The 27,113-nt window shown below is 55.2% G+C and overlaps 1 protein-coding gene across 17 annotated transcripts, besides 3 other annotated features; it reads left to right on the plus strand.

Annotated features, from left to right (window-relative positions):
- On the plus strand, positions 454–25,758 carry PCSK9 (proprotein convertase subtilisin/kexin type 9). Of its 17 annotated transcripts, none has more exons than NR_176320.1 (13): positions 454–950; positions 2,873–2,995; positions 4,749–4,940; positions 7,429–7,552; positions 13,184–13,317; positions 13,556–13,697; positions 16,899–17,095; positions 18,237–18,420; positions 18,942–19,115; positions 19,405–19,553; positions 20,392–20,569; positions 22,171–22,462; positions 24,275–25,758. NR_176320.1 is itself a non-coding variant. In NM_001407240.1 (13 exons), exons 1-13 carry the CDS (start codon positions 744–746, stop codon positions 24,488–24,490), a joined length of 2,202 nt encoding a protein of 733 aa, NP_001394169.1. In that variant the 5' UTR covers positions 454–743; the 3' UTR covers positions 24,491–25,758. The 17 variants fall into 17 exon arrangements, 9 of the variants coding, with proteins under 9 accessions (NP_001394169.1, NP_001394175.1, NP_001394171.1 ...); NR_176324.1 differs by lacking the exon at positions 2,873–2,995 and adding an exon at positions 12,098–12,359 and having other exon boundaries at positions 18,942–19,063; positions 22,281–22,462; NR_176319.1 differs by lacking the exon at positions 2,873–2,995 and adding an exon at positions 17,443–17,711 and having other exon boundaries at positions 22,281–22,462.
- Positions 4,354–4,855: an enhancer, noted in NCBI's record as "H3K4me1 hESC enhancer chr1:55509121-55509622 (GRCh37/hg19 assembly coordinates)". NCBI's record gives its function as "activates a minimal SCP1, AML or CMV promoter by ChIP-STARR-seq in naive and primed H9 embryonic stem cells {active_cell/tissue: H9 hESC(naive and primed)}" and the evidence as "EXISTENCE:reporter gene assay evidence [ECO:0000049][PMID:30033119]".
- Positions 4,856–5,355: an enhancer, noted in NCBI's record as "H3K4me1 hESC enhancer chr1:55509623-55510122 (GRCh37/hg19 assembly coordinates)". NCBI's record gives its function as "activates a minimal SCP1, AML or CMV promoter by ChIP-STARR-seq in naive and primed H9 embryonic stem cells {active_cell/tissue: H9 hESC(naive and primed)}" and the evidence as "EXISTENCE:reporter gene assay evidence [ECO:0000049][PMID:30033119]".
- Positions 9,888–10,443: an enhancer, noted in NCBI's record as "H3K4me1 hESC enhancer chr1:55514655-55515210 (GRCh37/hg19 assembly coordinates)". NCBI's record gives its function as "activates a minimal SCP1, AML or CMV promoter by ChIP-STARR-seq in primed H9 embryonic stem cells {active_cell/tissue: H9 hESC(primed)}" and the evidence as "EXISTENCE:reporter gene assay evidence [ECO:0000049][PMID:30033119]".

The following is a 27,113-nucleotide window of genomic DNA, read 5'->3' on the forward strand; positions in this document are numbered from 1 at the left end:
AGGGTGCATAAAGGGCAGAGGCCGGAGGGGGTCCAGGCTAAGTTTAGAAGGCTGCCAGGTTAAGGCCAGTGGAAAGAATTCGGTGGGCAGCGAGGAGTCCACAGTAGGATTGATTCAGAAGTCTCACTGGTCAGCAGGAGACAAGGTGGACCCAGGAAACACTGAAAAGGTGGGCCCGGCAGAACTTGGAGTCTGGCATCCCACGCAGGGTGAGAGGCGGGAGAGGAGGAGCCCCTAGGGCGCCGGCCTGCCTTCCAGCCCAGTTAGGATTTGGGAGTTTTTTCTTCCCTCTGCGCGTAATCTGACGCTGTTTGGGGAGGGCGAGGCCGAAACCTGATCCTCCAGTCCGGGGGTTCCGTTAATGTTTAATCAGATAGGATCGTCCGATGGGGCTCTGGTGGCGTGATCTGCGCGCCCCAGGCGTCAAGCACCCACACCCTAGAAGGTTTCCGCAGCGACGTCGAGGCGCTCATGGTTGCAGGCGGGCGCCGCCGTTCAGTTCAGGGTCTGAGCCTGGAGGAGTGAGCCAGGCAGTGAGACTGGCTCGGGCGGGCCGGGACGCGTCGTTGCAGCAGCGGCTCCCAGCTCCCAGCCAGGATTCCGCGCGCCCCTTCACGCGCCCTGCTCCTGAACTTCAGCTCCTGCACAGTCCTCCCCACCGCAAGGCTCAAGGCGCCGCCGGCGTGGACCGCGCACGGCCTCTAGGTCTCCTCGCCAGGACAGCAACCTCTCCCCTGGCCCTCATGGGCACCGTCAGCTCCAGGCGGTCCTGGTGGCCGCTGCCACTGCTGCTGCTGCTGCTGCTGCTCCTGGGTCCCGCGGGCGCCCGTGCGCAGGAGGACGAGGACGGCGACTACGAGGAGCTGGTGCTAGCCTTGCGTTCCGAGGAGGACGGCCTGGCCGAAGCACCCGAGCACGGAACCACAGCCACCTTCCACCGCTGCGCCAAGGTGCGGGTGTAGGGATGGGAGGCCGGGGCGAACCCGCAGCCGGGACGGTGCGGTGCTGTTTCCTCTCGGGCCTCAGTTTCCCCCCATGTAAGAGAGGAAGTGGAGTGCAGGTCGCCGAGGGCTCTTCGCTTGGCACGATCTTGGGGACTGCAGGCAAGGCGGCGGGGGAGGACGGGTAGTGGGGAGCACGGTGGAGAGCGGGGACGGCCGGCTCTTTGGGGACTTGCTGGGGCGTGCGGCTGCGCTATTCAGTGGGAAGGTTCGCGGGGTTGGGAGACCCGGAGGCCGAGGAAGGGCGAGCAGAGCACTGCCAGGATATCCTGCCCAGATTTCCCAGTTTCTGCCTCGCCGCGGCACAGGTGGGTGAAGGAGTGAATGCCTGGAACGTACTGGGAACTGCACCAGGCACAGAGAAAGCGGGCTTGCCATTATAGTGGGTTCCGATTTGGTTTGGAAAACATGGGCAGCGGAGGGTGGAGGGCCTGGAGAGAAGGCCCTACCCGAGACAGGGGCGGGGTGGGAAGGACGGCAGATGCTGGGAGCACGAGGCAATTTCTTTATGACACAGAACTCATGCTCTAGTATTCCATCTGTTTCAGCCGAAGAAAAGAACCAGCTGAAGGGGCAGGGGAGAAGGGGCGGAGGTATTCTCGAGGCCCATTGGCGTCCTTTAGGACTCAGGCAGGGAAGGGCCCTTGGTGCTCTGGAGCCGGAGGTGGTGCGCCTGGTACTGGGACCCCGGAGCTGAGCCCGGCGCCTCAGCCCACCTGGCTGTCTGCCGACCGTGTGCGGGGCGAGTTTGCTCAACAACTCTGCCAGCTTCTGGCCCTCAGGCTGTGGGAAGCTTCTTCCCGGGGCGAGACCACTAGCTTTTTCTAAGTATTACCAGCCCAGGACTTGGCTGAGGTTCTGTGTCCCCCAGCTTGGAGTCAGATGTGGGGTTGAATCTTGGCTTCCTCTCACTAGCTGTGGTGCTTGACAAGTCACTTATCCTTGAGCCTCCATTGCCTAATCTTTAAAAGGGAGGTGACAATCGTCCCTACGGCTCAGTGGCAGCAGATGGGGAGATGAAGGGAAAGTTCTGTTGACCATGAGTGAACTTACAATGCAAGCCCCGGGGGGATCACTTGCAGTTTTGTCCCTGTCTGCAGTGTGACCTGTTGGTGACATTGTCTTTGCTCCAAACCACAGCTCCTGGGGCAGAGGGGAAAATTCTGCCACTCACAGCTGCCTGCCCACGCTTCTGTCTGAGTGTGCTGGGTGGCAGGATGGCAAGTCCTTACTCAGCTCAGTATAGCCCTCTTCCTTGTTCCCTGAGCCTTTGACTTTCTCGAGGGATGTTGTGGGGTTGTGGCCAGGATAAGAAAGGGCATTTCAAGTTACCACTGCTCCAAAACAACTGTTCTGGAAATAGTGAGTACCCCATCCTGAGAGGTGAGTAAGCAGAGGCTGTATGACCACCTGAACCAAGCCCTTGAGGATGTTTCTTCTCTGGTGGAAGTTTGGAACAGGAGCCTCCTCAAGTTCATTTATTCATTCATTCAATGGTTATTTTGTGGGAATCGAATTTAGAATGAAAATATTTTTTGGCAAGCAGAAAATAATTTTTAGACCAATCCTTTTCTTTTAGTCATGAGAAACTGAGGCCCAGAGAGAGGAGGTCACCCCAGGTGCATTAGAACTGGGTTTCCAGAACTGACACTCCACTGCACAGAGTACTCTCCCAATTCATTCAATTTTTATTTAGCGGAAGGCATTTTCAGATGGGTCTTTGAAGCATTAGTAGGAGTTCAGCGATGATGGTGTCATGAGAATTTTATTCTAGGATTAGGAGGTACCATGAACAAAGATACAGAGCTGGGAAAACCAGAGGTGGAAGATAAGGAGCACATGTCCACAGTTCTTTTTCTTTTTTTTTTGAGATGGAGTTTCGCTCTTGTTGCCCAGGCTGGAGTGCAATGGTGCAGTCTCAGCTCACTGCAACATCTGTCTCCCGGGTTCAAGTGGTTCTCCTGCCTCAGCCTCCCAAGAAGCTGGGATTACAGGTACCTGCCACCACGCCCGGCTAATTTTTGTATTTTTAGTAGAGAAGGGGTTTCACCACGTTGGCCAGGCTAGTCGCAAACTCCTGACCTCCTCAGTGGATCCGAGGAGGTGATCCTCCCGCCTCAGCCTCCCAAAGTGCTCGAATTACAGGTGTGAGCCACCACGCCTGGCCTCCACAGTTCTTTATCCACCGTCTGAAATGTAAAATGTTACGAAAACCAAAAGTTTTTTTTGTGATTTATTTGATGGTAGCACCTGACGTGAACTGACATGAGATTATTTTTAATTTAGTTGTGTGAATATGCATATTCATATATTTTGCTGCATAGATTACAGTATGCAGCTCCAGATTCTTCCAAGCAGACTCTGATTGCCCATTACTGCCTTTCTAAAATCCAAACAAGTTCTGAGGTTCAAAACCGTTTTGGCCCTAAGGCTTTGGGTAAAGGGGGTGGACTCTGTTCTACTCTGACTGGAGTCCAAGATGCATATATACAGAGATATGGGTGATGGGGCTGCAAGGTAGGTTGAGGTAGGGGCCAAGGAGGAGCATGGAGTTTGGACTTGATTCATGAGGCTGTGGGGAGCCAGTGAAGGTTCTTAAGCAGGTATGTCTGCCTGAGAGCAGTTGGAGCAGACAAGAGCTAAAAACCAAACAAATCACCATAGATAGTGGCTGCTATAATTTGTTTGTCCCCTCCAAATCTCATGTGGAAATTTGGTCCTCAGTGTTGGAAGTGGGGCCTAATGGGAGGTGTTTGGGTCATGGGGGAGGAACCCCTGTGAAAGGCTTGGTGCCGTCCTTGTGATAATGAGTAAGTTCTCCCGCTATGATTTCCCTTGAAGGCTGATTATTAAAAAGAGCTTGGCACCTCCCTCTCTTCTCTCTTGCTTCTTCTCTTGCCATGTGATTGATCTCTGCACATGTAGGCTCCCCTTCACCTTCTGCCATCAGTGAAAGCAGCTTAAGGCCCTCACCAGAAGCAGATGCTGGTGCCATGCTTCCTGGAGAGCTTGCAGAATCATGAGCTGAATAAATCCCTTTTCCTTGTAAATTACTCACCTTCAGGTATTCCTTTATATAGCAACACAAAAGGACTAAGACAGTGGCCTTGACTTTTCTCTCTCTTTAAGAAGTGTTGCCTTTGCTCACTTAGTCATCCCTTCTGCCTGCATTTGTAGAGCATCTGGATGGGAGATTTATATAACCGTCACTCTTGACTTTCCCAGCAGGCCTATGTCATAGGTACTGTGGTCTCTACAATACAGCAGAGGTATCTGAGGCTCCGAGAGGTTGAGTGACTTGCTCATGGCTGCACAACCAGTAAATATTGGAGCTGGAATTCAGGTCCACGGTTTCCTGGCTCCAAAGCCCATGATTTTTTCCCTCAATTTATTCTGACTGGGGCATGGGGGAGGGGGTGGCCTTTGGGCAGGGCCACCAGGAGCGACCAGGCCCGTAGAGAGCTGGGTGCAGGTACAGAGGAAAACCTGTTGTCGAGTGTGGCCCGTAGTTCCCATTTTTGCCTGAATGGCACATTTGAAAGTGTTATATAACCATGTGAATAATAATAGTTGGCCTATATGAGTTCTTTAATTTGCTTTTTGGTCCGCATTTGGTAACTTCTTTATCATCTACTATACTCTGTTGTGTCTCTTTTGTTGTAATTTGTAAGTAGGGGTGAGATAAAGTACACCTAGGGTTTGCTGGGTTTCTTCCATGTCATCATGTTCCTCCTTGCATGGGGCCAGGATCCGTGGAGGTTGCCTGGCACCTACGTGGTGGTGCTGAAGGAGGAGACCCACCTCTCGCAGTCAGAGCGCACTGCCCGCCGCCTGCAGGCCCAGGCTGCCCGCCGGGGATACCTCACCAAGATCCTGCATGTCTTCCATGGCCTTCTTCCTGGCTTCCTGGTGAAGATGAGTGGCGACCTGCTGGAGCTGGTGAGCCACCCTTTTTGGGAATGGCACTTCCTGATAGGGCTGGGCCACTGCATATACACTGGGGACTGTGCTTAGTAGGCCCATTGCTGAAAATCAGAAGGGGACAGCAAGTATGTATTGAGCACTTATCGGGTACCAAGCACAGTAACTACTGGCTTTCTGTATAGAATTCCCTTTAAGCCTGGCCATGCCCCAGTGGTACGTCTATCTTCATTTGAAAGACGAGGAGACTGAAGTTCAGAGGGGACCACACAGACAGCTAGGGGTAGAGCCTGGATCAAACCCATTGGTCTGCCTGCCAGCCATTCTTGTGCCAATGCATCTGCTGCCTACGGAAACCTGTAGGGACAAGGCCCTGGGATGTTCAGTGGAGCCTGAGTCATTTTATAAAAAAGCATGACTCTAGGGTCCAAAATTCCTTTGAAGCTGTTGCTATCCAGAGTGAAGTCCCTTCTTTAGGACAGGGTGGCCCTCCTCCCTCCTGGATGTCACATCTTCGGTGGAGGGGCAGAAAGGGGACTGGGTATTCTCCTCACCCTGGCCCTAGTGCTTCAAATCTTAAAAAAACGTTTTTATTTGTGCTTCTGCACCACCTTCTAGCCCACCTCGTTTCCTGGCCTCTAACTTGATGAGAGCGTGTGTCATTTTCACACTGATTCTCCACATGGCAGGCGGTGCTTCTTAGCCTCCTGCAGACAGTGAGGCCCCACGGTCTTGTCCAAGGTCACACAGCGTGTAATGGGCAGGGTCAGAGTCTGGAGTCTGGACCTGGGTCTCCTAGCTGCACTGCACTGCTGCCCCATGGGTTAATCAGCTCAGCATACCGTGGCTGAACAGCTACCTCATACCAAGGCCTGTGGCGCCATGACAGGGATTGACAGGGTCCCTGCCTTGGAAACCCGTAGTCTAAGTAGAGGAGACTGACAAGTCAATGCCTTCCATCAGTCTGCTCAACACACGTTTACCAAGTGCCTACTGTGTGCTGCAGAGGCGAAGATGACACAGCTCAGGCCTTTCCCTTGAGCTTACAGTTCAGGAGGAGAGACTGACCAGTGACTGCCAGTACAGTTGACTATGGGACAATGTGCTCAGCCTTGGGGAGAGACGAAGAAGGTACCCGTATAGCACCAGATGACAGGCACGAGCCCCACAGGCCAGGGCAGCTGCTCAGAGGAGAGTAGGCCAAGCAGAAGGCAAACAGAAGGCTGCAGGCATTTGCCATCGAGAGCTGGACTTCAAACTGGGCATCATACCAGCCTGGGTTCGAGTCCTGCCCAGCCCCTTATTGGCTGTCTAACCCTGAGCAAATCCCTTCACCTCTCTGAGCCTCATTCCTCTATCTGTAAACCAGTTATAATAATTGGAACATTCATTTAAGGACTAAATGAGGTCGTGAAGCATTCAGCAGATGCTAGGTACGGAAACTCGCTGAAGTGGGGGCAGGTTAAGAAGCCTCTGGGGATACGAAGGCATCCAGGGACTAGTTGTGGCAGGAGGCTGTTACCACTTAGGTCTGAAGGGTAAGGAGAGGGAATAGCTTTCCCTCTGCCCAGTTGGAGCCGGTGGCATGGAGGAGAGGCTGCCTGTGGGGAATCACCCGAGGGTTCACCGCTGCCATGCGCAGGGAGTCAGGAGGTAGGGAGGGAGTGGGGCAGATGCACACCATTTTTTTTTTTTTTTGAGACTCTGTTGCCCAGACTGGAGTGCAGTGGTGCCATATCTGCACCTCTGCCTCCCGGGTTCAAGCTCACTGCAACCTCTGCCTCCCGGGTTCAAGCGATTCTCCTGCCTCAGCCTCCCGAGTAGCTGGGACTACAGGTGTGTGCCACCATGCCTGGCTAATTTTTGTATTTTTAATAGAGATGGGGTTTCACCATGTTGGCCAGGCTGGTCTCGAACTCTCGACCTCAGGTGATCCCCCACCTCGGCCTCCCAAAGTGCTGGGATTACAGGCGTGAGTCACCGCTCCCAGCTGCTGATGCACTCTTGTCCTTCTAACTCCTGCTAGTGCCTCCCATTGGCTGAGCCCAACTGGAAGCTTTGCAAGGGAGCTGGTGCTGCAGTTTGCACTGAGCAGGCTGGAGAAGGCTGGAGAATAGACTAGGGGACAAACCGAATTGCCAGTGCTGTTATGTCATGATTTAGGCATGGAGTCCAGGGCCTGAGCTTCACTCCATGTCCATCCTGCCCAGAGCCTTGGCACAGCCTGGCTCCCAGACAAGATGTCAAGTTCAGAATCCTTCCTAAAAGGAATCCTCTATGCCAGACCGTGTTGCAGGGATATGGGAGTGCTGGGCTCCCAGCCTGATCAAGGAGCGAGAAAACTCAGGCTCCTAGTCTGTCCTCCGGGGCACTAGCAGGGACAAGGTGGGAGGCTGCTGGGCTGGGATGTGGGGACAGGTTTGATCAGGTAAGGCCAGGCTGTGGCTGTGTTTGCTGCTGTCCAAATGGCTTAAGCAGAGTCCCCCGGCCTCTCTGGCTTCTGCAGGCCTTGAAGTTGCCCCATGTCGACTACATCGAGGAGGACTCCTCTGTCTTTGCCCAGAGCATCCCGTGGAACCTGGAGCGGATTACCCCTCCACGGTACCGGGCGGATGAATACCAGCCCCCCGGTAAGACCCCCATCTGTGCCCTGCCCCACCCCATCTGAGCTGAATCCATTTGCTCTGCCCTGGCCTGGCCTCCCTGCTGGTGGTTTCCACTTCTCGGGGGGCTTTGGGACTCAGCACCTCCACTGACCCCTTTTTTTCTGTCCCATCCCCATCCCCTGCAGCCCCCACTGCCTGCCTTCCTGTTGCCCCACAAATGCAAAAGTCTTGCCTTAAATGATCCTCTTTTCCTTCTTTTCTCTTGTTTTCCTTTTCTCACCATTTGGAATGGCCCAGCAGGCTGCACTTACCTTGGAAGGAGGGTTCATCTGATGGTGACTCTACCTAGGGCCCCCAGGCCTCTATAACTCCCAGTGCCCTGCAGACTGGACCAGATCCTTTAATGGGATAGACACAACCCTGTCTGGGATGCCTCTGCCTACCTTCCTGTTTTGCTGCTCCACCTGCCTCCAGCTCCGTTTGGCTTCCTGGGGCTCCCTGCCTGGGCCACTTTGTGTCTTCCCTCTAGGCCTTTCTTTCCACTGTTCCCTCTGCCTGGTGTGGCCTGGCTATGGAAGGGAGGGAGGAGGAGCGGCCATGGAAAACGGTCTGCATTCTAGCAGGGACTTGCAGGTGGCAATTCAGTCGGGGAAGACTCTAGATGCACCTGGCCTGAGGAGAGAATGAAGGGTTCTAGTTGGACTGTGTTAAGTTTGAGGTGCCCATGGTGTGAGGTCTGGAGCTCAGCGCAGAGATGATGCAATGTGGTGGGTCCATGCAACATGGTGCCAGGACGCAGAGCTTGGGGTGAACTCAGCTTTCACCCCTTACCGGTTCTCGTGGGATCTTGGGAAGCCACTTTCTTCTATGAGCTTTGTCGTTCTTGTCTGTAAAATGGGCACATAACCCTGTCCCTGTCCTTCTCACAGGTTGCTGTGAGACTCCAATGAGTTGAAGGATGTGCAGATGCTTTTGGAAGTGAAAAGTTGGGGGGCTACTGTGTGACTTTGCATACACCCAAACTGTGTGACCTTGCATATGTCTGAGTTGCTGCCATTGCAACAGATCAGAGCTGGTGGGCTGGGTGTGGAGAAAGGGTTTGTGTGGGGGACATCCTCTGGCAAGGGTGGCAGCAGCAGAAGTGAGGGGCCTGGTCGGTCATGTGTGCTGACCCGGCCTGGGCAGCCTGTGGCCAGGGAGAGGACAGCTCCTCTGTAGGAAGAGCCTGTTCCTTTCCAACCAGGTGAGACCTCTTCAGTGGAGCCCTGGAGCCCCCTGTACTCCACATCAGTGCCTCAGGGACCTCCCGGAGCAGGCTAATATCAGAGACCAAGAGGGACACTGGCAGAGGATCACAGAGACCCCAGTCCAGGCAGGGACTGAGAAGATCTTGCCCCCTAAGTTAGTTTCCTAGCACTGCTGTGACAAATTACCACCCCCTCGGTTGGAACAAGTTGATTCTCTGCAGTCCTGGAGGCCAGAAGCCTGAATCAGTGTCGGCAGGACCACTTTCTCCCGGGGGGCTCCAGGGAGAAGCTTCTCTTGCCTCTTCCGTGTCCCAACAGCGGCAGCACACCAATCCCAGCCTCTGTCTTCACACAGCCTTCTCTGTGTCTCTCTCCTCTTCATTGTCTCATAAGGACACTTGTCATTGGATTTAGGGCCCACTGGATCCTCCAGGATGATCTCATGTGGGGAACCTTAACCACATCTGCAAGGACCCTTTTTCCAAATAAGGTCACAGCCACAGGTTGTGGGGGTTAGGATGTGAGTGTATCTCTTTGGCAGCCACTGTTCCCTCCTCTCCCTTGGGCCAGAAGCAGACGTGGGGCCCTTTCTTCCCCATAGGATGCCCATGGATTGCCCCCCTTCCCGCTTCCCCCGAGTGTCTGTGGGAGGTGGCAGGAATGGCAGGCAGGGGTGTGGAACCCCTTCTGGAGTCATATCAAGGGCTTGGCTGGAGGAAGTCCTCCTGGAGCTGTTGGGCTGGCATGGGGCAGGCTGGCTGGGCCCAGCAGCAGCTTCTTCATTCATGGGGAGGCCACAAGCATGGGCCCTAGAGCTGGCTGCCGCCCTCAAACCCAGACCCTGCACTCTTAACTGTGTGACCTTGCATACGTCACTCACCCTCTCTGATCTTCAGGTTCCTCTGCAAAAGGGAGGTAATGATAACCCTCACTCTGGGGGGCTGTTTGGAGGGTTAAATCAGTTATTGCTGTAGCATGCATTTCTCTGTCAGGTATTGAGTGAGGTGCTGTGATTTTAGCCCTGCATTTTTCTTTTCTTACCATTCAATAATAACGTTTTGAGCACCCACTGTGCGCCAGGCACCATATTAGGTGCTGGGGATACAAATGTGAATGAAATGAATGTGGTCTCTTCCCCCAACAGTGTATCCAGAAGATTAATCCATTCCTTAAACAAATGCTACTTGACACAGATTAGTTCTGGATAGGCTGAGAGCTCTGAAGGAGTGCAGGCAGCTGCGAGCCTGTGTATCCAGCAGAAGGATCAGGAAAGGATTCCTGGAGGAAGCGCTGTTCTAGCCAAGACCTACGGGGGCATTATTAACCAGGCAAAGGGGACGGTGTCCAAGCAGTGGAATGAACGTGGATTGAAGCTGTGAGGCAGGAGGGAGTGTGGCCTGTGCAGAAGGGACCGAGGCTGGTGAGACCAGGAGGGCCTGGGTGGCCTCCAGGTCAGATGTGAAAGGAAGAACTTGGCCACAGTCTGAGCTTCTCAGGCGTATGGCAGGGCTGCCTGGTGAGAGGGAATGAGCTCCCTGCTCTGGAGGTATGCAAGCAGGACTGGGCTCTCACCTGCCAGAGGCCACAGAGCTTTCCAGAGGCTGGAAGAGGCCACTCCAAGGCCTCTTTGCCCCTGAGAGTGGTGGCTCTTCTTGAGGCCACCTTGCCACGCTGTCACAGGGAACTAGCAGCCCCTGCCTCACCCGGGGGTTTGGAAGATAGAGGGAGGCCTAGGAAGGGCCCTGTGTCTCATCCGAGCTGGGCCCCTTTCCAGCCTCTCACTGGAAGGAAGCCCAAGGATGTTCCTGTGGGGGCTTTTACCAGGCCCACCTGCCCTCTGCTGGCCATGCTTGCAGCCTCCTGACCCTGTCCCAGCAGGACAGTGGGCTGGTGTGAGCGGGCAGGAACCGCCTGCACTTAGAAGGTGTGGGGCTGCCTCCCCGAGCTTCCATCTGCCGCTGGGGCCACACCCCAGGCCCAGGGATGGGACCCCACAGTGGTCACATCATCTTGCAGCAGAACCCAGGTACAGCTCCTGGAGCAGATGGTGGTCCCAAGCACGGGTGGGACCAGAAAGGACTCTCACCTGGGCTAACTCAGCTGCAGCCTCAGTTCCCTCCTCACACACGACGAGGAACATGGACTGGAAGCCTGCCCAGCAGGCCTTCTGCTCGATGTGCGTTGTGTGGCTTACGTCCAGGGAGGGAAGCAGCCTCTGTGCTGTCTTCTAGATAAGCCTGTATTCCCCGGGCTGTCTGCCAATGTATCCAGTTGTCCCGTCAGCCTGGAAGCTCTGAGGGAAAACCTTGGGCTGCTTCCTGAGCACCTGTATCCCCTGCAGCCAGCCCGGGGCCTCTGCTAGGAGCAGACTGAGCATGGCTTATGGGCCTGGCACCATCTGGCCTCTGCCCACCTTGCTGGCCTTGTCTTGTGTCTGCCCCTTCGACATTCCATAGCCCAGCTCAATATCTAGTGGTTCCTCTAGGGTGGCGAGCACTGTTTGGTCTCCAGATGTCTTCAGGTCGGAGCTCACAGCGCTCTCAGCCACCCCTTCCCAGTGTAGCACCGGGCACATGGTAGATGCCTATTGATGAGTGAAAGCTCCTAACACACTCAGAGAGCAAGGACTCCGCCTCATCCCACAGCCTGGGAGGAGAGGCAGACTGCCAAGGACCTGCTCAGCATGCTACAGAAGAAACCAAAGTGCCCACGGGACTGATCAGTGGAGCTTCCTGCCGAGACTGGAGGCCTTAGGGCAGGGTAGACAGTGTGTGTGCAGGCTGGGGACTCACAGTTCGGACTGTGCCCAGACCTACTAGCATAGTGGGTGGGTGGGAGGATGCGGGACTGGGGGCCGACCTTGCCTGAAATTCATGTGGGATCTCAGAGCAGCCACTGAATTGCTCTGTAGGGGGCTAAATAGTGGCCCCCACAGATACACACACCCAGACAGAGCCTGTGAGCCAGACCTTATTTGGAGAAAAGGTCTTTGTAGATGTAATTAAGCATCTCAAGATGGCATCATCTGGATTATGCGGTGGGCTGTAAGTCCTGTGATGTGTCTTTATGAGAGAAAGGCAGAGGGAGATTTGACACACACAGGAGGGGCCACGTGGAGACAGAGGTGGAGATTGGAGAAATGTGGCCACAAGCCAGGGAACACCAGCAGCCACCAGAAGCCGGAAGACGTGAGGCAGGGTTCTTCCCAGAGCCTTCGCTGCTGAGTCTGGGAATTTGTGACCGAAGCCATAAGAAGTGGGTACACGCCCTGAGCCTCCCACACTTGCTCACCTGTCCTGAGATGAGAATCTCTACTCTGCAGCATATTTGGAGGATCACTGCGGGGGCCACAGAGGTGCTGTTCAGATGGCACTTCAGAAGACTCAGGAGACCCTGGGGCAGGAGCAGTTTGACTGACAGCCCAGAGGGCTGCCCTCTGATTCCACCTGAGGCCCTGCTTTTCCTGGCTGCAGGGGTTCCAGGGCCAGGCCATTTCCGCTGGCGCAGGACTCTGCTAGCAGCAACCTGCCTGAAGTCTTCCTTTGGCCTGGCTGAGAGTTTCTGAGACCTGCGCTGGAGCGGAGGTGCTTCCTTCCTTGCTTCCTTTCTTCCTCTCTCCCTTCTCCATCCAGCAGGCTGGACCTGCCTGGCATCTGTGAGCTCTCCCTACTTTCTCCTATACCCTAACCTTTGTCCTGCATGGGCGACTCCCCCAGTGAGTCTCTTGCAGCTTTTACCCCAGTGCCTGCTTCTTGGAGAATCCAAACTGATCCAGTTAGGGATGATAAAGTGTAGGGTAGGCGCTCGGTGACTGTTTTCTCTGAGGTTGTGACTCGTGTGAGGCAGAAGCAGTCCCCGTGAGCCCTCCTGGTATCTTGTGGAGTGGAGAACGCTTGGACCTGGAGCCAGGAGGCCCAGACATACATCCTGTCCGAGCTGCAGCTTCCTGTCTCTAAAATGAGCCGGCCAGCGCAGGTGGCCAGACATCACTGTTATTCTCCTTTGAGTCTTTAAATCTTGTTGTCTTTCTTGCAGACTCGGTGAGCTGTGAAAGGCTATAATAGGGGCTTTATTTTACACTTTGATACTATTTTTTGAACATTCATATTATTGTTAGATATTGATATTCATATGAAGGAGCAGGATGACTTGGGTCCTTCTTGGCAGTAGCATTGCCAGCTGATGGCCTTGGACAGTTACCTGCCCTCTCTAGGCCTCCCTTTCCTTGTCTATGAAATACATTATAGAATAGGATGTAGTGTGTGAGGATTTTTTGGAGGTTAAACGAGTGAATATATTTAAGGCGCTTTCACCAGTGCCTGGGATGTGCTCTGTAGTTTCTGTGTGTTAACTATAAGGTTGACTTTATGCTCATTCCCTCCTCTCCCACAAATGTCGCCTTGGAAAGACGGAGGCAGCCTGGTGGAGGTGTATCTCCTAGACACCAGCATACAGAGTGACCACCGGGAAATCGAGGGCAGGGTCATGGTCACCGACTTCGAGAATGTGCCCGAGGAGGACGGGACCCGCTTCCACAGACAGGTAAGCACGGCCGTCTGATGGGAGGGCTGCCTCTGCCCATATCCCCATCCTGGAGGTGGGTGGGGACTGCCACCCCAGAGCGTTGCAGCTGTACTCCTGGGTTGCACCCCCCCCAGCTGTCACTGTCCCCTCCCTGCCATCAGTTGTGGGAAGGGCGTTCATCCATCCAGCCACCTGCTGATTTGTTATAGGGTGGAGGGGGGGTCTTTCTCATGTGGTCCTTGTGTTCGTCGAGCAGGCCAGCAAGTGTGACAGTCATGGCACCCACCTGGCAGGGGTGGTCAGCGGCCGGGATGCCGGCGTGGCCAAGGGTGCCAGCATGCGCAGCCTGCGCGTGCTCAACTGCCAAGGGAAGGGCACGGTTAGCGGCACCCTCATAGGTAAGTGATGGCCCCAGACGCTGGTCTCTCTCCATCTGGACCTGGCCTGGGAGGTGGCTTGGGCTGGGCCCAGGGAGAGCTAATGTCTCCTAACCAAGAATGCTGTGGCAGCCTCTGCCGCAGAGCCAGAGAACCAGAGTGCCAAGGCTGGCAGGGTTCCCAGTGGCCACGAGTGCAGATGAAGAAACCCAGGCCCCAAGAGGGTCATGCAGGTAGCCCAGGGAGTTCAGCCTTGACCCTGGGTCAATGACCTTTCCACAGTTCCACACTGCTCCCCTTTTAAAATCCGGTGATGTCTTTATGTCTTTTGTTATGTTATCTTCAATGTGGAGGGACTCGAGGTGATCTAAGCAAACTTTTTCTATCTTCTGCTTGCATACCTCTGAGACCAGGGGACTCACTCACTTGCATGACTGGGCCCTGCAGGTCACACTGGCCAGGCAGATGTGGTGGAGGAACTGGCAGAGGACTTTTTCTAGACTGTGACTACATTTAGTCCACCCAGCGGCCCCCCTATGAAGTCCAGTTGAGAACTAGGACTCTGGGGGCCGGTGGACAGAGAAGAGGGAGGGTTCTCTCCCTTACTGACTTCCTTCTGTGGCCAGACATTGAGCAAGGCCTCTGTACAGCATGTCCTGGGGCTGGCCTTGCCGTAGCTGCTAAATAGTTGACGAAACCAGTCCAGAGAGGGGAGGTGACTGCCAGGGTCGCACAGCTCAAGCTGGGGAACTCGCTGGGAAAACTGTCAGCTCTGGGCAGCAGCTTGACTTCCACTGTAAGCCCCAGCCCCCAGGGTCAAACACTGGCTCTGGTGCTGGCAGAGGCAGCCCACTAGCCTGTTTCAAAGGCTGAGAAGGCCCAGGAGTCTGCCCTGTGCTCCACCAGTTCTGCCCTGAGACTTTCCTACAGAGTACAGGTTTTGATGTTCAGTTTTAAAGGCAAGAATCAATAACCTTCTGCCCCATCAGGTGACCCCTTGTGCCTGTCCCACCCCTTTATTGACTGACCTCGGCTCAGTCAGGTCAGTTCCTGAAGGTCAGTGTGTGGAGGGGAGGCTGTTCTTTCCCAGAAAGGCCTTCCCCAGGCCTGGTGCTCTGGCCTCTGGAGGACTTCCTGGAGAAGTCCCTTCTTTGGGGTCCCAGTCAGTGTATGGGAAGCCCTTATTGCATGACCTGGCACGGGGCAGGGGCTCAACAGTCACTATTGCCTTCCTTGCCACTGCCATTTCCTCCTCTGTAAGCAGGTGATTGTGTGTCCAGTCTGAGCACAGAGATAAGCACACAGCAGGTGCTTAATAACTAGCAGCTGTAGGCTGGGCGCGGTGGCTCATGCCTGTAATCCCAGCACTTTGGGAGGCCGAGGTGGGCAGATCACCTGAGGTCAGGAGTTCGAGACCAGCCTGTTCAACATGGTGAAACCCCGTCTCTACTAAAAATACAAAAATTAGCCAGGCATGGTGGTGGGTGTCTGTATCCCAGCTACTTGGGAGGCTAAGGCAGGAGAATCGCTTGAACCCAGGAGGTGGAGGTTGCAGTGAGCTGAGATCGTGCCACTGCAATCCAGCCTGAGTGATAGAGCGAGATTCCATCTCAAAAATAAATAAGTAAATAACTAGCAGCTGTAAATGTGGCTGTTGTTCTTCACCTCCACACTCAGTGCCACTCCACTCCCTCCCTCCGTGGTGTGAGGGGCCTCACTAGCTGTCTCCTAGGAGGAGCATGGCTGTGAGATTCCAGCTCCATCCTTGGCCACGGCTCCTGGAGACATCTTAGAGGCCAGGATCCAGAAGGCTCCCACACCTCATTTGACAGGGGAGAAGCTGTCAGTTCCAGGTCCCCTTGCACATCAGGGCCAGAGCTGCGTTAGGCCTCCAGTCTCCAGGCCACTGGGCCAGAGCTCACAGGCTGGCAGAGGGTTAGAACTGTTACTGGTGGCTGGGTGCAGTGGCTCACGCCTGTAATCTTAGCACTTTGGGAGGGCAAGGCGGGAGGATCATGAGGTCAGGACATCGAGACCATCCTTGCTAACACGGTGAAGCCCCGTCTCTACTAAAACTACAAAAAATTAGCCGGGCGTGGTGGCAGGCGCCTGTAGTCCCAGCTACTCAGGAGGCTGAGGCAGGAGAATGGCGTGAACCCGGGAGGCGGAGCTTGCAGTGAGCCGAGATTGCGCCACTGCACTCCAGCCTGGGCAATAGAGCGAGACTCCGTCTGGAAAGAAAAAAAAAAAAAAGAGCTGTTACTGTTGACAGTAGCATGAGGTAGACCATGGCCTGCACCAAAATGGGGGAGTGGAGTGCCACTGAGGCCAGAAGGAACCACACCCTCAAGGGTGGGGAGTTATGGTATGGGGGGTCCTAGGCATGGAGTCTTTTAATTCTTTAGACAATCCTGGGAGCAACTGTCCCTGTTTCACAGAGGGCGGGGCCACACAGCTGGTGAGTGGGCAGCCAAGACTCTGTTCAAGTTTGTGTGGGTCCAACACTTGCGGCCACGGTGGAGGGGCATCTGAGCCAGGCCTCAGAGAGTGGCGGGGGAAGTTGGGTGGGGAAGTGTGCCCTTCTCATTCCTCTGAGGCTCATCCTCTTGGTGCCTCTCTTTCATGGAAAGGGATAATAAGGTTATTGTGAGGATCCCCTGAGTTCGTATATTCAGACGCTTAGACAGAGCCAGGCACAGAGAAGGGCCCGGGGTTGGCTAGTTTGATTGCTGGTGTAATTGCTAATATCTTCCAGTTTGTATTGGTCAAGGTTCTGCAGAGAAGCAGAACCAGTAGGATGTATATATTAAGAGTTTCAAGCTCATGTGACCGTGCGGGCTGGCAAGTCTGAAATCCGCAGGGCAGGCCAGGCAGGCTGGCAATTCCTGCAGAATTTGATGTTGCAATACTGAGTCCTAAGGCAGTCCTGGGGCAGAATTCCTTCTTCCCTGGGAGGCCTCAGTCTGTTCTCTTAAGGCCTTCAACTGATTAAATGAGGCCTGCCCAAGTTATAGAGAGTAACCTGCCTTACTCCGTCTTCTGATTTAAATGTTAGTCACATCTAAAAAATATTTTCGCAGCAGCATTTCCACTGGCTTTTGACCAAACATCAGGCCACAAAGTTGATCCCCAAAATTAACCATCACTCTGTGCCTGTAAGGGAGGGGCTGGGAAAGGGGAGCAGGTCTCCCCAAGGGGTGACCTTGGCTTTGTTCCTCCCAGGCCTGGAGTTTATTCGGAAAAGCCAGCTGGTCCAGCCTGTGGGGCCACTGGTGGTGCTGCTGCCCCTGGCGGGTGGGTACAGCCGCGTCCTCAACGCCGCCTGCCAGCGCCTGGCGAGGGCTGGGGTCGTGCTGGTCACCGCTGCCGGCAACTTCCGGGACGATGCCTGCCTCTACTCCCCAGCCTCAGCTCCCGAGGTAGGTGCTGGGGCTGCTGCCCCAAGGCGCGGGTAGGGGGCGGAGGGCGGAGGGCGGAGGGAGGGCGGGCGGGCAGGCGGGCTTCTTGTGGCACGTGGGCTTCTTGTGGCACGTTCCTGGAGGCCGAACCCTTCTGGCTTTGGAAGGAGTCGTCAGAGACCCCCGCCATGCGGGAGGCTGGGGAGGAAGGGGCTCGAAACCTCCATCATCGCAGAGTCTGAATAGCAGTGGCCCCGCCATGCGCCCACGTAGCGGCGCCTACGTAGCCACGCCCCCACACCCCGTCCTGGCCACTCTCCCTCCTGAAGGTCTTCTGGTACCCGCCCCCTCCCCATCTCCATCCCCAGGCCCTGCGTCCTCTGCCCAATACTCTTTGGGCCTCCCTGTTGTCCAGCTCTCTCCGCGGCTCCATGACTGACAACTTGAGCAAGGCTAATGTGAATGGGAGCGGTTGAGGGCTCAGACCTCTCACCCGAGGAACATCCACAGAGTGTGCCGCATGCCCGGTGCAGTGTGGCTGCGGGGACACAGACACGGAGCCTCGGCCCTGAGGAGCTGGGGGGCAGTGACCGTCCCTCCTCTGACCCACCACTCCTCCAGTGTCAGGACACTGCGGGTATCTAGGGGAAGGAATCTTGTTCCACTTCAAGTCTGGAACTTCAAGTCTGTGTGTGTGCGTGCGCGCGCGCGCGTTGGGGGTGGGGGTTGCAGAGCAGATGCGTACCTGACAGCGGTAACCTAGGTCCCCCCTGGCCTATCAAGGCTTCCCTGGCGGCCGAATTTAAAGGCATCAAGCAAACAAAGCCCAACACATCTCTGCCTTGTCCTCTCAGTTTCCCCCCGTGGCACTTAGAACCACTTGATACACCGAATAGTTTCCTATCTCCCCCACTAGGATGTAAACTCCACAGGGGCATTGGGAATGCTGCCTGGCTATGGTAGGGACAGAGGGGAGCACCAGGGCGGGGCAGGGGTGCCAGAGTTCTGCCTGGGCAGTCAGATTTTCCTTAGGAGGGGACATTTGAGTGGGACCCAAACAGGTGTATAGCAGTTGTCCAGCCCAGCTGGCAAGGCCTGAGTCTGCCTCTGCAACCCCTCTCTTGGGCTCCTTTCTCTGCCACCCACCTCCTCACCTTTCCAGGTCATCACAGTTGGGGCCACCAATGCCCAAGACCAGCCGGTGACCCTGGGGACTTTGGGGACCAACTTTGGCCGCTGTGTGGACCTCTTTGCCCCAGGGGAGGACATCATTGGTGCCTCCAGCGACTGCAGCACCTGCTTTGTGTCACAGAGTGGGACATCACAGGCTGCTGCCCACGTGGCTGGTAAGTCACCACCCCACTGCCTCGGCCACCGTGATGCTAACAGCCCCTTTGGCAGTCAGGGTCTGTGCCGGGACCTCCAGTGCCAGGCTCTGTGCAGGGGGACCAGAGATGAAGTAGGCCTGATGGTGCCTTCAAGGACACTCAGTCTGATGAGGGAGGCGAGTGCACAGAGGAAACACGAGGTCAGGGCTGTATTAGAGGGAGCCCAGAGGAGGCACCTGCCCAGCCCGAGGGTCAGAGAAGGCATCTTGGAGGAGGGACATTTGATCGGGAGCTTGATGGATGAATAGGAGTTCACCTGGCCGATAAGACAGCAACTACCAAGGCTTAGAGGTGTGAGAGGAGGCTGTCTTACCTCACTGAGTAAGGACTGCAGGCGGCTTACCTTCGAGAAGAGAGCTTAGTGTCTGTGTGCACGTGTGTTTGTGTGTATGTGTGTGCGTGTGTGCACTGGCAGGAGTCCCCTGCTGGGGCAGGAGGGCCGGGCCATCACCATCTTTCACCATTCACCCCTGCACCAGGCATTGCAGCCATGATGCTGTCTGCCGAGCCGGAGCTCACCCTGGCCGAGTTGAGGCAGAGACTGATCCACTTCTCTGCCAAAGATGTCATCAATGAGGCCTGGTTCCCTGAGGACCAGCGGGTACTGACCCCCAACCTGGTGGCCGCCCTGCCCCCCAGCACCCATGGGGCAGGTAAGCAGGATGGCAGGGTGGGCAAGTCCAGGCTGGGGCTTGGGAGGTCTGTGTGACCTTGACAGTCTCTCCCTTCTCCCTTGTCTGTGTAAGGAGGATGACGCCACCTTAAATAGGATTAAATGAGAATGGGGCTCTGAAAGGGCTGTGCAATATTTTCATAACGTGTTTTTATAGAGACAGTTGAGTATGTTCTTTAAGCCCTCCTCTCTCCTACCATGAACTAAAGATTTCTGTGGAGGTCCCCTCACTCCCAGCACCCCCTCCTCATCCCAGGCCCTTTTTGCAGGTTGGCAGCTGTTTTGCAGGACTGTATGGTCAGCACACTCGGGGCCTACACGGATGGCCACAGCCGTCGCCCGCTGCGCCCCAGATGAGGAGCTGCTGAGCTGCTCCAGTTTCTCCAGGAGTGGGAAGCGGCGGGGCGAGCGCATGGAGGTGACTGTACCCCTCCTTCGTGTGTGTGTGTGTGTGTGTGTGTGTGTGTGTGTGTGTGTGTGTGTGTGTGTCAGTGCTGGGCCCTCAGGGACCCCCAGCAAGCCCCTCCATCCTCCAGACTCCAGCTCTTCTGTAAGCTTACAGGGCTGGCCAGACCAGGAGTGGGGCACTCCTCACTTCACGCGGCTGGGGGCTGCTGGAGAGAGCCACAGCGGGAAGGGTTTCCTAGAGGCTGCAGGACAGTGCTGGATGGATTTTCAATGCTCACCTGGGTGTGAGCGTGCGGCAGGGCCGCGTGAGGGTCAGCGATCTGCTACTCTGGACTCAGCCATCTCTAGGCCCCTCTCACTCAGGTGCTCCATGGTTCTGGGAGCTGAGAAATCTCAAACCAGCAAAAAAGTGGAATTGATGTTGATGCTACAGGATAGTGCACAGATGCCATCTGGTTGCAGCATTTTGGTGGAAGGGCAGTGCCCAGCTAGGAGAGTGAGGAGGGGCAGGCATTTCTGGCTTGAGGAGATGGGGTCTTAATGCTCGTGTGAGAGGCAGAGTGGGTGGAGTGGAGCTGGCTGGATCCTTGCTTTGGCCTCCTGGATTTCTCTCTATCTCCATTTTGAAACCACTCTGTGTTTGGAAGAACTTTTGAGTATTCAGAGCTGCCCACTGGCAGAACAGTCTTCCTTGGGCAGGAGTGAGCTCCTTGTCCCCAGAAGGCTGGGTCTGGCTGGCCCCTGGCAGGGACACTGATGAGGGTGCTTGAGTTGATCCTGTCTAGTCCCTTTCTGTGTTTTCAAAGCCCATTCTAAAGCAGATTCCCATTTCCGTCTTTGACTCTAAGGCCCAAGGGGGCAAGCTGGTCTGCCGGGCCCACAACGCTTTTGGGGGTGAGGGTGTCTACGCCATTGCCAGGTGCTGCCTGCTACCCCAGGCCAACTGCAGCGTCCACACAGCTCCACCAGCTGAGGCCAGCATGGGGACCCGTGTCCACTGCCACCAACAGGGCCACGTCCTCACAGGTAGGAGGCTGGGCTTGCCCTGGGGTGAGGAGGGGTCTCTTTCTCCTTATGCACCCACTGCCCGCGAGGCTTGGTCCTCACAAGTGTGATCCATGAGACTCAAGCCTGACTTGCAGTTCCATACTCTGGTTCTGCCACTTCCATGCCCTTTGAGCCTGGGCAGGTGACCTTACTTCTCCTCATCTCAGCTTCCTCCTCCATAAGAGGGAAAAAGGTATTACCTGCCTCATTGTGTTGCAAGGAGATGGGCAGCATCTAGGGCACTGGCCTGGAGTATCGCAGGTGCTTTGCCTAAGGTGGTGCAGTCCAGGAGAGGCAGCTCCAGAGAGAGGCCCCCGGCTGGGGCTGAAAGGAGGGCAGACCTCGGTTTGAATTTCACCCTGCCGCTCTATAGCTGTGTGACTTGGGCAAATTACTTAACATCTCTGTATGAGGAAATGATGAGTGCTAAGCACTTAGCTTAGTGCCGGGACAATATAAATTCTAGCTATCGTTACTATTGTTTTCATCACCCGTTGCTTTAAAATCCAGCCTCTGGTATAGGCAACTATTGACGGGCTACCCTGTGTCGAAAACATGCCCAGGCAGGTAGCAGGAAGTCACAGATGGGGACCTCTTGGGGCATCAAGGGATGGTGCCCTGAGGCTGAGCTGTTCTGGTTGGGTGGAGCATGAGAGGTCTGGGAAGACAGTGGGACTCCAGCCTGGAATAAGAGGCTCAGAGTTGATTCTCGTCTGAGCACGTCCAGGGGAACCACTGAGGGTTTGGGAACAGGAGAGTGAGGGTGAGAACCTGGTTCTGGGCACAGCAGGCTGGCATGTAGGATGGATGTTCAGGAAAGATGAGCATAGTCAGGTGGCTGGTGCCCTTGTCCAGGGGAGAGGCTCCGTCAGGTTCAGGGGTCCTGGCTTGGAGGGAAGTCCGCCATGCTCTAATCACGCTCCCCTTTGGAAGTGCTCAGCCGATGAGCTCACAGGCACATGTCAGTTTGAAGTCATGGAATCTGACTCCATGAAGCGCACCTCAAAGAGCACCATTTTGCAGCTAAGGGAACTGCAGGCTGGACATGCTGAGTGGCTGCCCCGAGCCCTTGCAGCTAGGACATAGAGAATGCTAGTAACCACAACCCTACCATGTTCAGAGCACATGCCAGGCTCCATGCTGGGGCTTCGCACGTGTCATCTTCACAGTGTCCCTGTGAGTAGGTGTGGTTTCTCTTTCCATCTTACAAATGAGTAAACAGAGCCTCAGTGTAGCTAAGTAACCACTATTTTAGGTTTCTTAGCCAATGGGTGTGTCTGACTCCTAAGCCCATGGAGGGCATTCTGAGGTGGTTCAGACAGACCCCGGCTTACCCTTGAACTTCTGCCTGCTGGCTGCATAGGGAGGGGCTGGGGGGAGTTTGAGCATCTCAGGCCATAGAGCCCCTGCCTCACTGTCTCCATCTCTGGGTGGAAAGATGGTGTTTTCCCTGAGAAACTAAGGCTCAGAGAGGTTGAATGGCTCTCCCAAGGTCACACAGCTGGTCAGCTGCAGAGTTGAGAACACAGGAGTCCTGGTGCTCAGGCCAGCATCTCTTTTTTTCTTTGAGTTGTTTCTAGGTTTCCTAGCTCTTGCCTCAGACCTTAAAGAGAGAGGGTCTGATGGGGATGGGCACTGGAGACGGAGCATCCCAGCATTTCACATCTGAGCTGGCTTTCCTCTGCCCCAGGCTGCAGCTCCCACTGGGAGGTGGAGGACCTTGGCACCCACAAGCCGCCTGTGCTGAGGCCACGAGGTCAGCCCAACCAGTGCGTGGGCCACAGGGAGGCCAGCATCCACGCTTCCTGCTGCCATGCCCCAGGTCTGGAATGCAAAGTCAAGGAGCATGGAATCCCGGCCCCTCAGGAGCAGGTGAAGAGGCCCGTGAGGCCGGGTGGGTGGGGTGCTGCGTGTCTCTCCTGCACAGCTTTTCTGTGTCAGTTTGTGCCACCACCATACCGCCATGCATCAGGGTGGCGGTTTGCCAGGTAGATGCTGTGGGCAGCTTCCGCCATTGTGTGGACAGCATGTATATGTGTCTCTGTGTGGCTGGGTCTGTTTTTGCTTTTGTCCAGATCAGTAAGGTTTGCTACCTGGGTACCCCACTCCACTTGGAGTAGAATGTGCATAAATATGGCATAAAGAAATGCAATATGCATGCATTTATTGATTGATCTATTTTTTTCTGAGATGGGGTCTTGCTGTGTTGCCCAGGCTGGTCTCAAATTCCTGGGCTCAAGCAATCCTCTGGTCTCAGCCTCCCCAAGTGTTGGGATTATAGGCATGAGCCGCTGCACCTGGCCTCTCTGATCTATTTAACAAACCTGCTGGGAGGGTCTCAGGGTCAGGAGCAGCACTGGGCTCTGAGGACACAGAGCTCACTCAGCCGTGACCCAGAGGGGGTGCCTGAGCTGCATGCTGAAGGTTGTTAGCATGACCAGCAAGGCAAGAAAAGGCCCTGCCGAGATTAGCAAGGCATGTGCCAAGCCCTGGAATGTGACAGCCGGGCCTTCTAGAAACCTGAGTGTATAACTCTCCTTAAAAGCCAGTAGGAGCTCCTCAAAAGGCAGCCCTAAGGAGTCCACTCTTAAATGAACTCAGAGTCAGTTTTAAAATGCAAGTCTGTGTTGATTCTGGTCTGGATGGTGCATTCCTCGAGAGCAAAAGACAGTCTTGGTCTTGGATCCACTTGCCCTGGGTACACTGAGGGCTGCTAGGTTCCAGGTGCTCTTCCTGGCACTGGGGAGGGATACAGGCCCAAGAGACATGCTGTTCTCCCTCCTGGAGCATCTATTTTAGTGGAGGAAGACAGAAAACAAACCATTAATATAGAGTACTGAAAAGATGCGATGGAGAAAACTATAGCAAGGAAGGGAATGGGGTGGGAGAGAGGTCAGGAGAGGTCTCGCTGACAAGGTGGACGAAACAGGCCATGAGGCAGAGAACATGTTCCAGGCAAAGCAAAGGCCCCCAGGTGGGGATGTGCAGGGAGTACCAGGAAACCAGAGAGGTGGGAATAGTTATGAGATGGGGGGTGCCTCAGAGGGGACAGGGCCAAGTCAGGTGAGACCTGAGGGTCACAGTCAGCAGTGAGCTGGGGCCATGCAGGGGTCTGGCCTCAGAGGAGTGTGGTCTGGCCTGGATCTGAACCTCTCACTGTGGCCTAGCTGCTGAGCTGAGAAGAGATGACAAGGACCTTGGGCAGAAGCAGGGAGACTGGAGGGAGGCGGTGGAGGGTCCAGGCGTTGGGGCGGGGCTCAGGCTGGAGTCTGAAGGGAGCCTGCAGGCCTGGTGGGTGGATGTGGGTGGGAGAGGGGGAGGATGGCACCAAGGCTCGGGCCCCTGGACAGATGGAGTTGCCATTAAGTGGGATGGGGCAGGCTATGGGGCCATCAGTTTCAGAGGGATGAGTTTGGCACTGGCATGGTAGGCATCTGTCTATCTCCACGGCCCTCAAACCAGGCATGAAGCAGGAGCTCACGTGTTTGGTCAGCCATGGTGCAGAACCGCCTGGGTGGGAGGTGCGGGGTGGGAGATACACGGTTGTGTCCCAAATGGGCTCTGAGCCAGCGAGGGCCGTCTGCACTTTGGCCTCACAGAAGGATGTCGGAGGGAGAAATGAAGTGTGGGTGGGGGTCCCGGGCCACGCTAGACATGTGCTTTCTTTTCCTCGGGCTCTGGCAGGTGACCGTGGCCTGCGAGGAGGGCTGGACCCTGACTGGCTGCAGTGCCCTCCCTGGGACCTCCCACGTCCTGGGGGCCTACGCCGTAGACAACACGTGTGTAGTCAGGAGCCGGGACGTCAGCACTACAGGCAGCACCAGCGAAGGGGCCGTGACAGCCGTTGCCATCTGCTGCCGGAGCCGGCACCTGGCGCAGGCCTCCCAGGAGCTCCAGTGACAGCCCCATCCCAGGATGGGTGTCTGGGGAGGGTCAAGGGCTGGGGCTGAGCTTTAAAATGGTTCCGACTTGTCCCTCTCTCAGCCCTCCATGGCCTGGCACGAGGGGATGGGGATGCTTCCGCCTTTCCGGGGCTGCTGGCCTGGCCCTTGAGTGGGGCAGCCTCCTTGCCTGGAACTCACTCACTCTGGGTGCCTCCTCCCCAGGTGGAGGTGCCAGGAAGCTCCCTCCCTCACTGTGGGGCATTTCACCATTCAAACAGGTCGAGCTGTGCTCGGGTGCTGCCAGCTGCTCCCAATGTGCCGATGTCCGTGGGCAGAATGACTTTTATTGAGCTCTTGTTCCGTGCCAGGCATTCAATCCTCAGGTCTCCACCAAGGAGGCAGGATTCTTCCCATGGATAGGGGAGGGGGCGGTAGGGGCTGCAGGGACAAACATCGTTGGGGGGTGAGTGTGAAAGGTGCTGATGGCCCTCATCTCCAGCTAACTGTGGAGAAGCCCCTGGGGGCTCCCTGATTAATGGAGGCTTAGCTTTCTGGATGGCATCTAGCCAGAGGCTGGAGACAGGTGCGCCCCTGGTGGTCACAGGCTGTGCCTTGGTTTCCTGAGCCACCTTTACTCTGCTCTATGCCAGGCTGTGCTAGCAACACCCAAAGGTGGCCTGCGGGGAGCCATCACCTAGGACTGACTCGGCAGTGTGCAGTGGTGCATGCACTGTCTCAGCCAACCCGCTCCACTACCCGGCAGGGTACACATTCGCACCCCTACTTCACAGAGGAAGAAACCTGGAACCAGAGGGGGCGTGCCTGCCAAGCTCACACAGCAGGAACTGAGCCAGAAACGCAGATTGGGCTGGCTCTGAAGCCAAGCCTCTTCTTACTTCACCCGGCTGGGCTCCTCATTTTTACGGGTAACAGTGAGGCTGGGAAGGGGAACACAGACCAGGAAGCTCGGTGAGTGATGGCAGAACGATGCCTGCAGGCATGGAACTTTTTCCGTTATCACCCAGGCCTGATTCACTGGCCTGGCGGAGATGCTTCTAAGGCATGGTCGGGGGAGAGGGCCAACAACTGTCCCTCCTTGAGCACCAGCCCCACCCAAGCAAGCAGACATTTATCTTTTGGGTCTGTCCTCTCTGTTGCCTTTTTACAGCCAACTTTTCTAGACCTGTTTTGCTTTTGTAACTTGAAGATATTTATTCTGGGTTTTGTAGCATTTTTATTAATATGGTGACTTTTTAAAATAAAAACAAACAAACGTTGTCCTAACTCTTGCATAGACTTGACTGCCTAGGGTGATGCCTTGCTTATACTAGGAACTGGGTAAGTTTGTTGAATAGTTGAGTAAGCCAAGTATTTGATGAGTACTTTTATCTTGAGTACAAGTATTGGGCAAGTACTGGTGATGTGAACTTACTCCTTGTGCCTATCCTAGGAATGAAATGAATGTCTTCCTGCAGCTCCCCTGACCACCCTGACAGTCAAAGTGCCTCCTCCTTGGTGACAGGTGCCCTACAGCACTCTAGATGCTCTGTTGTCCTGACCTCCCAATGCCCTTTTCATTCTTTTCTCCCCAGTACCTGGCACACAGCCTGGCCCGAGTATTTACGGAATAAGTTACAGTGCCAGATGCTTCTGTAATGAGCCAGTGCTAAGTCCATGGCTTTTTTCATGATTTAAAATTCAGAACAGTCTCAGATTGGGTGCAATGGCTCACACCTGTAATCTCAGTACTTTGGGAGGCTGAGGCAGGAGGATTGCTTGTGTTTAGGAATTCAAGACCCTGGGCAACAGTGAGACCCCGTCTCTATAAAAAAATTTAAAAGATTAGCGAGGTGTGGTAGCACATGCCTGTGGTCCCGGCTACTCAGGAGGCTGATATGGGAGGCTTGCTTGAGCTGGGAGGCTGAGGGTGCAGTGAGCTGTAATTACATCATCACTGCACTGCAGCCTGGGTTACAGAGTGCATAATGATCCCATTCAATGTGGGACCTCCAGGCCCTCCACTCTAAGGCTGGTGAATATAGCTGTCTTAAGCAAGTTCTCTCTCTCTCTAGACAGCCCATGTCATAAGGAATCTCAGGCAAAATTCCTCCCAGATTACATTTTCTGACAATTCAGTGTCATATATGGAAAGCATTCAAGAGTTGACAGATGGCAATGGCTTGAACACCCAACTGTGTTATCTCTGCCCGTTGGAACCTAGGCCTGTGGTGCAACCCTAGACTCTCTCTCCTTCCCCTCCACAGAATCAAGTATCAGCTGGTTAGAGATCCACACCCTGACAGCTCTGTGATGTTGGAACAACTTGGTTCTTGCAGAGGGTTAGCAGGTGGTCACCAGGGATCGGGGAGGAAGGGGTGTGGCTTGCAGGAAGGCGAAAATCTGGACTAGCAAATAGGGAAGGGGACCCATGTGAGCAACGCTGGCCACTAGGAATGAGACTGAGACCTGTGGGATCTAGCAAGAAGCCCAGTGTGACCAGCGACACGATCTATGCTGGGGACCACTTGGGAGAGCCAAAAGCTTTGGTGGAGATGAATGGAGACCATCAACCTAAGTTCAGCATCCTCCTCTAAGCTTTGCAGATGAATCCTGAAATGGTCAGCCCCTCCAGAGAAAAG

The sequence above is a fragment of the Homo sapiens genome, chromosome 1, assembly GCF_000001405.40.
Source record: "Homo sapiens chromosome 1, GRCh38.p14 Primary Assembly".
Lineage (NCBI taxonomy): Eukaryota > Metazoa > Chordata > Mammalia > Primates > Hominidae > Homo > Homo sapiens.

Excerpts from the sequence above, each read along its gene's own strand:
- PCSK9 (NM_001407240.1), top strand. The coding sequence starts at position 744 with ATGGGCACCGTCAGCTCCAGGCGGTCCTGGTGGCCGCTGCCACTGCTG. Across the intron at positions 19,116-19,404 it reads CCCCAGCACCCATGGGGCAG|GTTGGCAGCTGTTTTGCAGG; the intron begins GTAAGCAGGATG and ends CCCTTTTTGCAG. Across the intron at positions 22,463-24,274 it reads TCCCGGCCCCTCAGGAGCAG|GTGACCGTGGCCTGCGAGGA; the intron begins GTGAAGAGGCCC and ends GGGCTCTGGCAG.